Raw genomic sequence first — 15,600 nt, forward strand, 5'->3', positions numbered from 1 at the left:
AACTGGGAGACTTGTTAGAAGCGCAGTCTTAGGCCCACCCTACACTCTAGGGATGGGCATAGGAGTGTGTGTGTGTGTGTGTGTGTGTGTGTGTGAGAGAGAGAGAGAGAGAGAGAGAGAGATTGTGTGTGTGTGTCAAGCTCGGTATTAAATAGGTCAAAGAGCAACATCTGGCTTCTAAACCCACCCTCAGGCCTCTCCACCGAGTACCTGTCTCAAACCCAATCTGATCCAACAATAACCAGCCTTAATTCAATAATCTGTGCTACCTGAGATGATGGGAATAATCGTGGTACTATAAATGTTGCAGAACAAAAACGACTGCAGTAGATTTTCTGGGGCTACACCAACTGAAAATGGGCCGGACCGAGATCCGGGAGAGCGTTTTCCTGCGCTAGACACGGCGTTCAGCCTCCGGGTTCCGGGTCTAGCTGAGTCAGGGCGGCGTTCCAGCCGAGTGCGGCGTCGGAAACCCGTTCGGTTGCGCCCGAACCTTCGGTCAGAGGCCAGCGCTGGAAGCCCAGACCACAGCACCCGGGTTTAAACAGGAGCGGAGGCGCCGGGAAGGGCCGGGGGGGCCGGCTAGGGCCGGCCAGCTTGGAAGCCGCACCCTCGCGGCCCCAGACGCCGGCAGGGCGGAGCCACGCGGCCGCAGCCCCAGCCGAGACGCGAGCTCGTGGCTCGGGCGTATGGGGGCTCCAACGGGAGCGGCTGCGCCGCCCGGCCGGGTCAACGTCGTGCGCATGCGCCGACCCGGCGCCATTTTGGTGGCCGGGCGCGGAGGTGATTCCACACTGAGGCGAGCGCGGCGGCCGGGGTGGTAGTGGCAGTGTTCGTGTGCTCAGGTCTGAATCGCCGAGGGAGGAGGCGGTGGAGGAAGAGGTGGCGGCGGTGGCGGTGGTCGTAGCGGTGGCGGAGGAGGCGGGTACGAATCAGCTGCGGGCGGAGACATGGCCAACATCGCGGTGCAGCGAATCAAGCGGGAGTTCAAGGAGGTGCTGAAGAGCGAGGAGGTCAGAAATGAACTCCCGGATATCCCCCACCTCTGCCTGGGGCGGGAGGGTCCTCCCAGCTGCGACCCCGATATCCCCGGTAGTCCCTGGGTGGTCCTCCTTGCGGCCGCCCTTCTGCCTGTGAGGAAGCAGCAGTGTTCCCCTCCTCCTTCCGCCGCCTTCCCCTCCCCTCCCAGAGCGCTAGGATGGACGGTCTCGCGGGCGGGTGGTCTGGGGTGGAACATGGTTTGGGGAGGTGATGGACAGGGGGCAACTCCTCGGAGGGATGGAAGCTCACAAGAGAACCCGAGGCGGTGGCCGCAGCTGGAAATGTGGCTGTGGGGTGGGGAGGGAGCAGGCCGAGCCTGAGAAAACCCGGGAAGTGGGTTGGGGGAAGGGGAAAGGTGGTAACTGGATCCCAAGAGCAGTGCTGCTCGAAGGCCCACACTTTTGAGGGTATTCGGGGTTATTGCCTGTCAGGCCTTCACTGTTCTTTTCTTGGGGAAGGAGCAGTGAGTCCTTAGGTATTGATTAAAAAGGAAGGACATTCAGAGTTAGTCCTTCTTAGTTGGGTGTTAGGAGTCAAAGGGAGACATAATAGAATACTGTCTTATTTGGTGGCAGGGGTAAGGGAATTTTCACCTGAGTTAGCAAGTTAATTCCAAATAAGATAATTATCTCTTTTCCACTTAACCCCCAAATTCCTAGGCCTCATCTTTATTGACATCTCAATCTTTTGAGTGGGCAAAGGCAAGGTGTTTGGTGTATTAAAGACATGTAAATATTTTTAGTTAGGAAACAAATAATGGAATGTATGAGTAGCTTATTTCAAAATATTGTTTACAAGTTACAGATCAGAGAGACTGTCTTAAGACAGTGCCTCTGTGACTCGTGTTGTGCCACGAAACTTCATTATGATGTCCCTCATAGTTAACTTGATTCTTACTTTTGAAAAGCAGACCTATTAAAAATGTGAAATTTCACCAGATTAATACATTGTTTCATCTCCTTATTGAGATTTATCACGACTTAACAGATTTTCAAAAAAGTTGCCTCCCGTTGCTCTTAAGTCCTGCAGAATTTAGATACATTTGTACTACGTTTATTTATGTAAGATATTCACAGTGCTCTAGTAATTTGACTCAAAATTATGCAAGTATTAGTACAGTTTCTCATACCAAGATCAACAAGAATGCCAGATTGTCTTCCCCACATGAATTAAACAAAAAGTAATACAGAAAATGATTATTTTCAAGATTCACATACCATTATTGAATATATCATTGCTATTTGTGTTTTTCTTTTACAGTTAGTACTTTAATAGTGTCAATAATAATTTGTGAAATTCAGCATTCTAAGTATGTGATGAGTATACATGGAGAAAAAATTATTTAAAATTCAAAAATGACAACAGACTTATTGAAAGTAGTATATAAGTCATGGTCGGTTTTACAGAGCATGTGTATGAACTCTGACCTCTATGTTTGTTCATATGCCAAAACTCTGAATGGAAGGATGACTTTGTATTTTGTGGTACAATGCAGAAATAGAGTCATAAGTGTCTGTACTGATACAATGAAACAGCAATTTTAACTTATTTAATATGAAAATGTATTCCAGGTTAGTTGACATATATACTCCTAATGAAAGCAGTTGTTGTTGCCAACAACTGAAAACATTTCTTGTTTAATAAGGTTGTACAAGCCTGAAACTTAATAGACTTTTAATGCTTTATTTTCTGTTACTTACGGTAACAGAAACAGTAAGTTACTGCTCTGGTAATTAATGTGGTCTCTTTGCTTTTTATGAGCTGACTTTTCACCGTGGTATTCTTAGTACTAAGTTGAAGATTACCAGAAATACTTGTATTGCTCTCTAGTAATGCATATTAAAAAAACACTGCTCTTTATACGTAAGGGATGTTGAAGCCTTACTTCAGATAAGCATCAAAAGTGTTTCAGAAGAAGAAAACAGGAAATGCAAACAGACAGGTTTTTTGTTGTTTTTGTTGTTTGTTTGTTTTGTTTTGTTTTGTTTAGAACAGTACCTGTATAAATATGGAAGGAAACTTCTGGGAAAATAAGTTGGAAAGAACATTTAGGAAAGGGTCACATCATTTAATCTTGGAATAAATATAACCAATAAATAGCTTATTTTCACCAGTATTTTTTGATATTTTAGTAGCCCCAGTTCTATAAGTGTATTGTTATTTTCAACTCATTGAAGACTTGTAGTATAGTCCATGTGTTTCCTTTTTAAGGGTGTAAATACAGTCTTTTGAATGGCTGATCAAATAAATGTTTCATCATGTCACTTTTTTGGTAAATCAGCACTTTACCGAAGTTTATTTCATGTGTTTGTATGCTTGTGTTTACTAAGAACACTGGTTGATTTAAGGACTTTTTGGGGTGGCCTTATAAGAGCCTTTGTAAAGATAGCTGACGCTTACTGGATTCTGGTTATGAGAGATTATAAGTGGCCGTTCTTAGAGTGTGTTAAAATACAGCCAACAAGATAAATGTGAAAAAGCAAGGTGCAGAATAGTGTGGAAGAGGCCATTTGTGTCAAAAAGAAGGGCATGTGTGTATTTGCCTGTATGGGTAAAAGGTTTCATGAGAAATTGGTAAAATTGATTGCTTTCTGTGTAGAGAGTTGGGTGTCTGGGGTATAGATATTTTTTGAATTTTGTGTCATACAAATGTGATTTACTTAAAGGCATCATTTGGCCTCTTTCCCTTAAGACAGTGTTTGGAAATTTGTCAGATGTTTCTTTTTATTAATTAATATTTATTTTCTTTGTTTTAGATGTTTGTTTTTAAATATGAGTGTGAATTTTAAGTAGTTTTAAATAATATTCCAAAGTTGTTAGGCATGGAATATTGATGTAAAGTACATTTTATAATTAGTTATTTTATGAGTAGGATTACATAAGTAAATTATTAATTGTGAGGATATAAACCCATAATCAATGTTTTATTCATAAGTTTTATTATTTACTATTAGTTATTGCTGCTGTTAATAACTAGCTGCCATTTGTAGAATGGCTAGTTGTTCTTAGTATCATTTGTTTTTACGTTATTGCTAATTCTTAAGCACAGTTCTTTAGATGTCCTATTTCCTAGATGAGAAAATAGAGATTTAGAGAAGTTAAATTATTTGTCTGCAATCACAGAGCCTGGGATTTGGATCTAGGTCTGCTTGTGTTCATATTGTCCCACGCTGTCATGACTTGCTAAGGATAGGCATGCTTTTAATTAATTTAAAAAATCGAGCCTGGTTTGTATTACTGGTTAAAGGATTTAAACACAGTTTAATTTGCTAGTTTAAACTCATTGAAATAAGTGTTACCTATAATTAACTTTAAGATGTACTTGAATTTCTTTCTTTCATGTTTTTTTTTTTTTCTTTTAAGAAGGAATCTCGCTGTCTCGCCCAGACTGGAGTGCAGTGGTGCGATCTCAGCTCACCACAACCTCTGCCTCCCAGGTTCTAGAGATTCTGCCGCCTTAGCCTCCTGAGTAGCTGGGATTACAGGTGCCCGCCACCACGCCCAGCTAATTTTTGTATTTTTAGTAGAGACGACGTTTCACCATGTTGGCCAGGCTGGTCTTGAACTCCTAACTTCAAGTGATCCGCCTGCCTCAACCTCCCAAAGTGCTGGGGTTACAGGCATGAGCCACCACACCCAGCCAGATTTACTTGAATTTCAATATACCAAATATTTTAAAATTTGAAACTTAATGAAATAAAACACCCTTAAATCAGTGCACTCTCTTGTTGGTCTTATGCTATATGGCACCTGTTGGTTTTTCATGTTGTAATTGCACTTTGGTAACATTTTCTTTTCTTTTCTTTTCTTTTCTTTTTTTTTTTTTTTTTTTTTTTTTTTTTTTTTTTTTTTTGAGACGGAGTTTTGCTTTTGTTGCCCAGGCTGGAGTGCAATGGCGCGATCTTGGCTCACCCCAACCTCCGCCTCCTGGATTCAAGCAATTCTCCTGCCTCGGCCTCCTGAGTAGCTGGGATTATAGGCATGCACCACCATGGCTGGCTAATTTTGTATTTTAAGTAGAGGCGAGGTTTCTCCATGTTGGTCAGGCTGGTCTTGAACTCCCGACCTCAGGTGATCCACCCGCCTCGACTTCCCAAATTGCTGGGATTACAGGAGTGAGCTACTGCACCTGGCCAACATTTTCTAGTCTCATAGGGCGTGTTTAAATCTATGGCATAAACAAATTGGTTTCGTGAAAATTACTATATAGTACATTAAGTTTTCCCTCATCATTTAAATAGATTTTTGTGTCTATTTTCCTTTAAAATTTTAATGTACTTGATCTAGCTTGATCTAGATTATTCTGTAATAGAAGTAGTTGTAAATCTCTAAAAGTAAGTCTTTTGATTTCTGTAGACCATGGATTTTTTAACCTTGGCACTACTGACATTTTGGGCAGATAGTTCTTTGTTGAGTGGCTCTCCTGTGCATTGTGGGATGTTTAGCAACATCCCTGACCTCTACCAGTATATGCAGGTAGCACTGCAGAGCCCCAGCGCATGTCCCCACTATCTCTTCTTGCTGGATGCATCAACTAAAAATGTCCCCAGACTGCCATATGTTGAGAACTATGTAGACAAAACTTTTTTTTTTGATACAGAGTCTTGCTCAGTCACCCAGGCTGGAGTGCAGTGGCACGATCTCAGCTCACTGCAACCTCCACCTCCTGGTTGCAAGCCATTCTGCCTCAGCCTCCCGAGTAGCTTGGATTACAGGCGCCTACTACCATGCCCGGTTAATGTTTTTATTTTTAGTAGAGACGGGGGTTTCACCATGTTGGCCAGGCTGGCCTGACAAAACTCTTTAAAAGAGTGTTTATGGCCAGGTGGGGTGGCTTATGCCTGTAATCTAGCATTTTAGGAGGCTGAGACTCGATTGAGGCCAGGAGTTCAAGACCAGCCTGGGCAACATAGTGAGAGTTTGTTACTACTAACATTTAAAAAAAATCAGCCAGGCCTGGTGGTATGTGCCTATAGTGGCAGCTACTCGGGAGGCCGAGGCTGGAGGATGCTTGAGCCCATGAGGTCAAGGCTGCAGTGAATTGTGATCATGTGACCGCACTTTAGCCTGGGCATCAGCGAGACCCTGTCTCATAAATGAAAAAAGAAAATGATTCCTGGCTATTTATTAACTATATAAGAAGAACACAGCCAGGCGTGGTGGCTCACGCCTGTAATCCCAGCACTTTGGGAGGCCTAGGCAGGTGGATCACGAGGTCAGGAGATCGAGACCATCCTGGCCAACATGATGAAACCCCGTCTCTACTAAAAATACAAAAATTAGCCGGGCATGGTGGTGAGTGCCTGTAGTCCCAGCTACTTGGGAGGCTGAGGCAGGAGAATTGCTTGAACCGGGGAGGTGGAGGTTGCAGTGAGCGAGATGGCACCACTGCACTGCAGCCTGGCGACAGAGCGAGACTCCATCTCAAAAAAAAAAAAAAAAAAAGAATACTTTGAGACTTAACTGTATCAGATGTGTAAGATAATTTATCTAAAGAATAAATGGACACAGACAGTAAAGACAAAAAATATATACTGGCTTTGAATGTTTTATTTTTAAAACTTTTAAGTTTGTTTCCCGTTTTTAGTGTTTTTCTTTTAAAATTTCTCGCTTTTGATTTTAATAAAAAGGTAAAATTTTCTACCAAAAATGAATGTAACGAGAATTTGAACAGTTGTTTCTAAGACTAGAGGCAGGCGTGGTGGCTCACATCGGTAATTGCAGCACTTGGGGAGGCTGAGGCAGGAGAATCGTTTGAGTCTGGGAGGTCGAGGCTGCAGTGAGCGGTGATTGTGCCACTGCACTCCAGCCTGGGTGACAGAGCAACACACTGTCTCCAAATAGTAAAAAAGTGGTTTTTAAAGTTTTTATTTTTATTTTATTTTTTCAAAAGTGTGTTTGAAAGTTATGTAAGTTACAGTTTTATGTAATATTTAAATAGTATTTCTTATGGTTTCTGGAATGGGTTGAGCAAGGAAAGCCTATAGATTGGGTTAAAAAAAATCAAAGTCTGTGCAGGTAATATGTTTGGGGTGAATTCCTTGTATACAGTGTTACAAAGACTTTGAGCTCTGTCCATTGGGCGTAGGTTTAGACACATCTGGGCTCCCTAGCTTCTTCCCTTTTTATTTATTTATTTTTGAAACAGAGTCTCACTGTCACCAAAGCTAGAATGCAGTGGCGTGATCACAGTTCACTGCAGCCTTGAACTCCCCAGGCTTAGATGATCCTCCTACCTCAGCCTTCCAAGTAGCAGGGACTAAAGGCGTCTGCCACCATGCCCAGCTAATTTATGTAATTTTTTGTAGAGACGGGGTTTCACCATGTTGCCCAGGCTGGTCTCGAACTCCTGGACTGAAGTGATCCTCCGGCCTTGGCCACCTGAAGTGCTGGGATTACAGACGTGAGCCACCATGCTTGGCCTGTCACCCCTTCTTAAAGACTATACACCTTTTTTTTTTTTTTTTTTTTTAGACGGAGTCTCCCTCTGTCGCCCAGGCTGGAGTGCAATGCGCCATCTCGGCTCACCGCAACCTCCGCCTCCCGGGTTCAAGCAATTCTCCTGTCTCAGCCTCCTGAGTAGCTGGGATTACAGGCATGTGCCAGCATGCATGGCTAATGTTTTTTTTTGTTTTTTTTTGTTTTTGTTTTTGTATTTTTAGTAGAGACGGGTTTTTACCGTATTGGCCAGGCTGGTCTCGAGCTCCTGACCTTGTGATCTGCCGCCTCGGCCTCCCAAAGTGCTGGGATTGCAGGCATGAGCCACTGCACCTGGGTTTTTTTTTTTTTTTTTTTGGGAGACAGAGTCTTGCTCTGTTGTCCAGGCTGGAGTATGGTGGCACGATCTCAACTCACCACAGCCTCTGCCTCCCGGGTTCAAGCGACTCTCGTGCCTCAGCCTCCTGAGTAGCTGGTATTACAGGCGCACCCCACCACGCCCAGCTAATATTTTGTATTGTTAGTAGAGACAGGGTTTTACCATGTTGGCCAGGCTGGTCTCGAACCCCTGACCTCAAGTGATCCAACTGCCTTGGCCTCCCAAAGTGCTGGGATTACAGGCGTGAGCCACCGTGCCCAGCCAAGACTATATACTCTTATTTCCCGTGAATACATTATTGACAGTTATTGAAAATATTGACTATAGCCCCAAAAGGCTTAACTGGTTAGAGATACAGGGCAGACAAAGGATAGATAAAAATGGTGGGGGCAAAGAGTAAATGCTATGGGATTCTAAAGGGTATCTGCATGAGAGAGATTCCTTTTTGTTGTTGTTTTGTTTTGTTTTTGTGACAGAGTCTCGGCTCTATCACCCAGCCTGGAGTGCAGTGGCTCCATCTCAGCTCACTGCAACCTCCGCCTCCCAGGTTCAACCAATACCTCAGCCTCTGGAATGGCTGGGATCCCGGGATTACAGGCATGCGCCACCACGCCCAGCTAATTTTTTTTTTTGAGACGGAGTCTCGCTTTGTCACCCAGGCTGGAGTGCAGTGGCGCGATCTCAGCTCACTGCAACCTCCGCCTCCCAGGTTCAACCAATACCTCAGCCTCTGGAATGGCTGGGATCCCGGGATTACAGGCATGCGCCACCATGCCCAGCTAATTTTCTTTTTTGAGACGGAGTCTCGCTCTGTCACCTAGGCTGGAGTGCAGTGGCGCTATCTCAGCTCACTGCAAGCTCCGCCTCTCAGGTTCATGCCATTCTCCTGCCTCAGCCTCCTGAGTAGCTGGGACTACAGGCGTCCACGACCACTCCCAGCTAATTTTTTGTATTTTTTTTTTAGTAGAGACGGGGTTTCACCGTGTTAGTCAGGATGGTCTCGATCTCCTGACCTCGTGATCTGCCTGCCTTGGCCTCCCAAAGTGCTGGGATTACAGGTGTGAACCACCCTGTCCGGCCACAATACCCAGCTAATTTTTGTAGTTTTAGTAGAGACAGGGTTTCATTGTATTGGCCAGGCTGGTCTTAAACTCGCGGCCTCAGATGATCTGCCTGCCTGGGCCTCCCAAAGTGCTTGGCTTAAATGGTGAGCCACCATGCCTGGCATGCCTGGACTTTTTTTTTTTTTTTTTCCCAGATGGAATCTCACTGTGTCACCCTGGCTGGAGTCCAGTAGCATGATCCAAGCTCACTGCAGCCACCACCTCCCAGGTCAAGCGGTTCTCCTGCCTCAGCCTACCAAGTAGCTGGGATTACAGGCGCGCCCCACCGCCCAGCCAATTTTTTATATTGTTAGTAGAGACAGGGTTTTATGATGTTGGCCAGGCTGGTCTCCCAAAGTGATAAGATTACAAGTGTGAGCCACAATGCCCAGCCAAGACTATATACTCTTATTTCCCAGTGAATACATTATTAACAGTTACCGAACATGTTGACCACAGCCCCAAAAGGCTTAATTGGTTGGAGATACAGGACAAAGGATAGATAAAAATGGGAGGGGCAAAGTGTAAATGCTATGGGATTCTGAGGGTATTTGAATGAGGGAGGTTCTTTTTTGTTTTTGTTTTGTTTTGAGTCAGAGTCTCTGTCACCCAGCCTGGAGTGCAGTGGCTTTATCTCGGCTCACTGCAGCCTCCGCCTCCTGGCTTCAAGTGATTCTCAGGCCTCAGCCTCCAGAATGGCTGGAATTACAGGCATGCGCCACCACACCCGGCTAATTTTTTTTGTATTTTTAGTAGAGACTGGATTTCACCATGTTGACCAGGCTGGTCTCACACTCCTGACCTCAGGTGATCTGGCTGTCTTGGCCTCCCAAAGTGCTGGGCTTACATGTGTGAGCCACCCCACCTGGAGTTTTTTTGTTTTGTTTTGTTTGAGATGGAATCTCACTCTCTCACCCAGGCTGGAGTGCGGTGACATGATCTTGGCTCACTGCAGCTTCTGCTTCCCAGGTCAGGCAGTTCTCCTGCTTGACCCAGTAGCTGGGATTACAGGCGCATGCCACCATACCCAGCTAATTTTCCTATTTTTAGTAGAGATGGGGTTTCTAGCCAGGCTGGTCTCGAACTTCAGACCTCAGGTGATCCGCCTGCCTTGGCTTCTCAAAGTGCTGGGATTACAGGCATGAGCCGTCGTGCCTGGCCTGTATGACTGTATGAGGGAGGTTCTTGAGCTAGGTGCCTTTTTTTTTTTTTTGAGATGGGGTCTCACTCTGTCGCCCAGGGGCACAATCATAGCTCATTGCAGCCTTGACCTCCTGGGTTCTAGCAGGCCTTCCACCTCAGCCTCCCGAGTAGCTGGGACTACAGGTGTGTGCCACCACACCTGGCTAATTTTTATTTTTTGTAGAGATGGGGTCTCATTGTGTTGCCCAGGTTGGTCTTGAACTCCTGGCTTCAAGCAGTCCTCCTGCCTCAGCCTCCCAAAGTGCTGGGATTATAGGCATGAGCCACCTCACCCAGCCTTCTTGAGCTGAGTTCTAGAGGAAAGTTAAGACTGACCTCAAATTTCAGGAGACAGTCCCAAAGGAATTCTGGTAATATTGCAATTTTTTTTTTCTGAGACAGTTTTGCTCTTGTTGCCCAGGCTGGAGTGCAGTGGCACAATCTCAGCTCATTGCAACCTCTGCCTCCCGGGTTCAAGCGATTCTCCTGCCTCAGTCTCCCGAGAAGCTGGGATTACAGGCATGCACCACCACGCTCAGCTAATTTTGTATTTTTAGTAGAGACCGGGTTTCTCCATGGTGGTCAGTCAGGCTGGTCTCGAACTCCGGGACTCAGGTGATCTGCCAGCCTTGGCCTCCCGAAGTGCTGGGATTGCAGGCGTGAGCCACCGCGCCTGGCCGAGATTCTTAAGTAAATGAACTTTTCTTTAGGCACATGAATTGGAACTATGGAACAAAGAGATTATTGATACAATTATTCAAGAAGCACATTTGCATATTTAGAACAGAAAGGTTGCACAGCTCTTACATACTCAAACATAGTTTTAGAGTTAGATCATGATCTTAACTTTCTTCATGGTTACCTTTTGGGGAGGAAAACCACCCTTTTTCATATTAAAGTAAAATGTGTACGTAATAAAGTGTGACTGGCATCCAAATCAAGAAACAGACCCTTCCCAGTACCATGGGAATCTGCCTGCCTTTCTAGTTACTTTCCTGACTTCTAATAACCGATTAGTTTTGAGTATGTTTGAGTAAAAGAATAGATGTGAGTATATATTATGTATTTTAAGTTTGAAAGTTTTCAAAAGATGCTTTTCAAAATCTTTCTTAAGAAAAATATAGTGTCTTAGAAAATGTGCCAAAATGTATTGAATTTCAGAGCTGAAACAGATCTAGGCCAAACTTCTCATCTATAAAATCAGGAAATTGAGGCCCAAGGAGGTTGATTGTTTCTCAGAGAAACAGAGCTGGTTAATGGTGAACCCAGGCTTTTTGCATACCAGTTTAGTCATAATAAGTAGTTGGTTTTTGGGAATATCCTTTTCATAAATGATAGTATAAAAGCTGACTGCTAATACAACTTTACAGAAGGGGATAACAATGCAGTATTATTTGTGTCTTTTTTTTTTTTTTTCCTCTTAGTATGAGAACTTGAACTTGCCAAGGAGGTAGAGATTTTTTAACTCCTGAAGCATAATTTAGTTAAGTTAGCTTAGTAATTAAGGGCGTGGGCTTTAGAATTAGATTTGCTTTGAGTCCTGGCTTTTCTTCTTAAAACCTGAAGTACTGGCTCTGTATCTCGATTTTTTTAATCTGTAAAAATGTGGGAAGATTAGGAGAGTCCTTGCGGTGCTTAGAACAACCTTGGGACATAATTAAACATTCAGTAAACGGATAGCTGTTAGATGTCAGAATTAGCTATGTTTTCATATTCTGTCGTGCTTATTATTCTTGGATTATAAAGGTATTGTTCAATGGTTTAGTGATTATTGGATGTAAATATGCCTCAAGAAAAGCTCAAGATGAGGGTTAAGGTACTTCTAATAGTGTTTCTTTGTCACCTGTGTGCCAATAATCCATGGGGCTAGTGGCCAAGTAGTCCACCCTTATCTGCAGTTTGATTTTCTGCAGTTTCAGTTACCCATTGTCAACCATCGTCCAAAAATAAGTGAGTATAGTACAATAAGGTATTTTGAGAGAGCACATTCACGTAACTTTCATTACAATATATTGTTATAATTACTCCATTGTTAATCTCTTGTGTTTAATTTATAGATTAAACTTTATGATATGTATGTACGTATAGGGTCGGTACTATCTGTGGTTTCAAGCATCCACTAGGGATCTTGGAACGTGTCCCCTGTGGATAAGAGGGGATATATTAATACAAAGGAATATATGTGGGCTCTGTTCTCCAGATGTGATTTATTTAATCTTTCTTTAGGAGACAGTTATAAATCGTTCAAAGTTTGTGTTAAAATGTTGCCTTCCTGAATGAAAAAGTTCATTTGGGAAACTCTCAAATGATATAGAGATAATGGGATTATTTTGAATTTCTTGACATGGCTCTGGGTTTCCTGAAACTAGACCAAAGAATCTAGATTCTAATCCTGTGGTGTATAATCTTGGATCCCTTTGCAAATCCCTTTTTCAGTGGGCTTTGGGAGCCAGAAAATAGGCAGTCTCATTCATCTGACATCCATTTTATTCTCTTACATAAATCTGAAAAGGTGGGAGAACTTTATTTCATTGAACATGCTTTTTTAAAATTTTTTTATTTTTTTAAGGCTAGTCAAACGAAGCAGTGGAAATGGAAAAGGAAAAAAGTCTGTAACTGGTTATGATCAATTAATTGTAAACACCACTGCAAAACCCTTTTTTTCTTTCTCTTCCCTTTAGTTCTTTGCTTTTACTCCAAATTTAGAATAACTGCCTACAGTTGAATGCCTACTGTCTGATTGATTGATTGATTGATTGATTTTAAGACACAAGGTCTTGCTCTGTTGCCCAGGCTGGAGTGCAGTGGCAGCAGAGCAAGACCTTATAGCTCACTGTAACCTTGAACTCCTGGGCTCAAGTGATCCTCCTGCCTCAGCCTTCCTAGTAGCTACCACACCTGGCTAAATTATCTTTTTTAAAATTTTTTGTGGAGTTGAGGTTCTCACTATATTGCCCAAGCTGGTGTCAGACTCCTGGGCTCAAGCAGTCCTCCTGCCTCAGCCTCCCAAAGTCCTGGGATTACAGGCATGAGCTACTGCACCCTGCCTATCTGACATTTTTTATATATGGCAGCTTTATGGGATTGATAGTATTCTTGTTTCACAGATCCAACAGTTGCAGCTGTGAAGAAATTAAGTAACTTTCTCAGTATCAGTAACTTGGTGGTGGAACAGAGGTTTGAAACCAGGTCTGTGCGTCCAAAATATTGGTGGTTATGGTAGAAAGAGTTATACTCATATCTGCTGCTTGCTCCCTACATTTTTGAAGATTTTTTTAAAACTAAGAAATACTTTATACTTAGAAGTTTTAAAAGTAATACGTGAACATCTTTATATCTGTGGTCCATATTTAACAGATAGTAATCTTCTCATACTGTGGGCTAAACTGCCTCTACCCAAATACTGTAAAACATAGAGGTAAAGCTCACTGGATAACTTTTTTCTTATTCCATTTTTTCTTTCTTTCTAGGAGTATCTGCTATGTGAAGTTAGTGTATATCCTTCCCCTTCATATTTTTGTTTTTACTGTTAATATCTCCTGAATTTAAAAATAAAATACTTTTTTGCTTTTTTTTTTAAAGTTTTTTTTAAAAACAGTTTTTATGAATGATTGTAATGTATGTCTCTTGGAAACTTTTTCTCTTTTTTTTTTTTTTTTTGAGACGGAGTCTCACTTTGTCGCCCAGGCTGGAGTGCAGTGGTGTGATCTCGGCTCACTGCAAGCTCTGCCTCCCGGGGTCATGCCATTCTCCTGCCTCAGCCTCCCGAGTATCTGGGACTACAGGCGCCCGCCACCAAGCCCAGCTAATTTTTTGTATTTTTGGTAGAGACAGGGTTTCACCGTGTTAGCCTGGATGGTCTCGATCTCCTGACTTCATGATCCGCCCGCCTCGGCCTCCCAAAGTGCTGAGATTACAGGTGTGAGCCACCGCGCCCGGCAGCATTATTTTTTAAAGATCTGTGATAGTGCATGTTGTGCTAGTTCTTTAATACAGACTATATTGTATTCCATGTCAGTTTTTAAAGTTTATTTCCCTATTGATGGCATTTAATTCCAACTTTTAGATAAAAGGATGTACTGGACATTTTTATAATTTTTTGGGGAACATGTAAGAGTTTTTCTAGGAAGTAGATTTGTAAGACCTGAGCGTATTTTCAGCTTCTGCCTGACTGGACATTGCTTCACTGTTCTCCAGATGATTGAATCAATTTACATTCCCACTAAAAGAGTTCTGCCCGGGAGAGGTGGCTTACTCCTGTAATCCCAGCACTTTAGGAGGCAAAGGCGGGCGGATCACCTGAGGTCAGGAGTTCCAGACCAGCCTGAACACCATGGAGAAACCTCGTCTCTCTACTAAAAATACAAAAAATTAGCCAGGCATGGTGGTGCATGCCTGTAATCCCAGCTACTTGGGAGGCTGAGGTGGGAGAATTGCTTGAACTGGGGAGGCAGAGGTTGCATTAAGCCGAGATTGCGCCATTGCATTCCATCCTGGGCAAGAGAGGGAGACTCTGTCTCAAAAAAAAATAGTCACTATTTTTTGTAAGACTATCTCAGGAAAAAAAGAGGAAGGGAAAAAAAAAACGTAGTTACTTGAAACCGCCCCCCCTTTTTTTTTTGGAGATGGAGTCTCACTCTGTTGCCCAGGCTGGAGTGCAATAGCACCGACAACCTTTTTTTTTTTTTTTTTTTTTTTTGAGACCGAGTCTCGCTCTGTCACCCAGGCTGGAGTGCAGTGGCAAGATCTCAGCTCACTGCAAGCTCCGCCTCCTGGGTTCATGCCATTCTCCTGCCTCAGCCTCCCAAGTAGCTGGGACCACAGGCACCCGCCACTGCGCCCGGCCAATTTTTTTTTTTTTTTTTTTTTTTTTTTCAGTAGAGACAGGGTTTCTCCGTGTTTTTTTTGTTTTATTTTGTTTTGTTTTAAGATGGACTCTCGCTTTATCGCCCAGGCTGGAGTACAGTAGCACAATCTTGGCTCATTGCAACCTCCATCTCCTGTGTTCAAGCAATTCTCCTGCCTCAGCCTCCTGAGATTATAGACGCATGCCACCACGCCTGGCTAAGTTTTGTATTTTTAGTACAGACAGAGTTTCACCATGTTGGTCAGGCTGGTCTTGAACTCTTGACCTTGTGATTCGCCCACCTCGGCCTCCCAAAGTGCTGGGATTACAGGCGTGAGCCACCGCACTCGGCCTACATTTTTAAGACTTATGTTTTTGTCACTATGATGGATGTGAAATGGTGGTTTATTCTAATTTTTACTTCCCTAGTCAGTAGAGATATTAAGCATGTTTTGTGTTTATTGGCCATTAGGCTTTTGTAAATTTAGTGTTTACTTTTTTTTTTTTTTTTTTAAATGAGACGGAGTCTCGCTTTGTCGCCCAGACTGGAGTGCCGTGGCGCGATCTTGGCTCGCTGCAACCTCTGCCTCCTGGGTTCAAGCGATTGTCCT

The 15,600-nt window shown here is 43.3% G+C and overlaps 1 protein-coding gene across 8 annotated transcripts in view, besides 2 other annotated features; it reads left to right on the forward strand.

The window, feature by feature from the left end:
• Window positions 313–372: an enhancer, noted in NCBI's record as "active region_21465". NCBI's record gives its function as "activates an Ori minimal core promoter by ATAC-STARR-seq in GM12878 lymphoblastoid cells {active_cell/tissue: GM12878}" and the evidence as "EXISTENCE:reporter gene assay evidence [ECO:0000049][PMID:35858748]".
• Window positions 453–742: a silencer, noted in NCBI's record as "silent region_15371". NCBI's record gives its function as "represses an Ori minimal core promoter by ATAC-STARR-seq in GM12878 lymphoblastoid cells {active_cell/tissue: GM12878}" and the evidence as "EXISTENCE:reporter gene assay evidence [ECO:0000049][PMID:35858748]".
• Window positions 759–15,600, forward strand: part of UBE2K (ubiquitin conjugating enzyme E2 K) — an 84,657-nt gene continuing 69,815 nt past the window's right edge. For 6 of the 8 annotated variants that reach the window (NM_005339.5, NM_001111112.2, NM_001312646.2 and 3 more), the window contains exon 1: window positions 759–1,013. In NM_005339.5, coding sequence (NP_005330.1) covers window positions 951–1,013 — 63 coding nt within the window. In that variant the 5' untranslated portion in view covers window positions 759–950. The remainder of the gene's footprint in view (window positions 1,014–15,600) is intronic. The other 2 variants (NM_001312647.2, XM_047450158.1) reach the window with 2 other exon arrangements.

The sequence above is a fragment of the Homo sapiens genome, chromosome 4 (assembly GCF_000001405.40).
Source record: "Homo sapiens chromosome 4, GRCh38.p14 Primary Assembly".
NCBI lineage: Eukaryota > Metazoa > Chordata > Mammalia > Primates > Hominidae > Homo > Homo sapiens.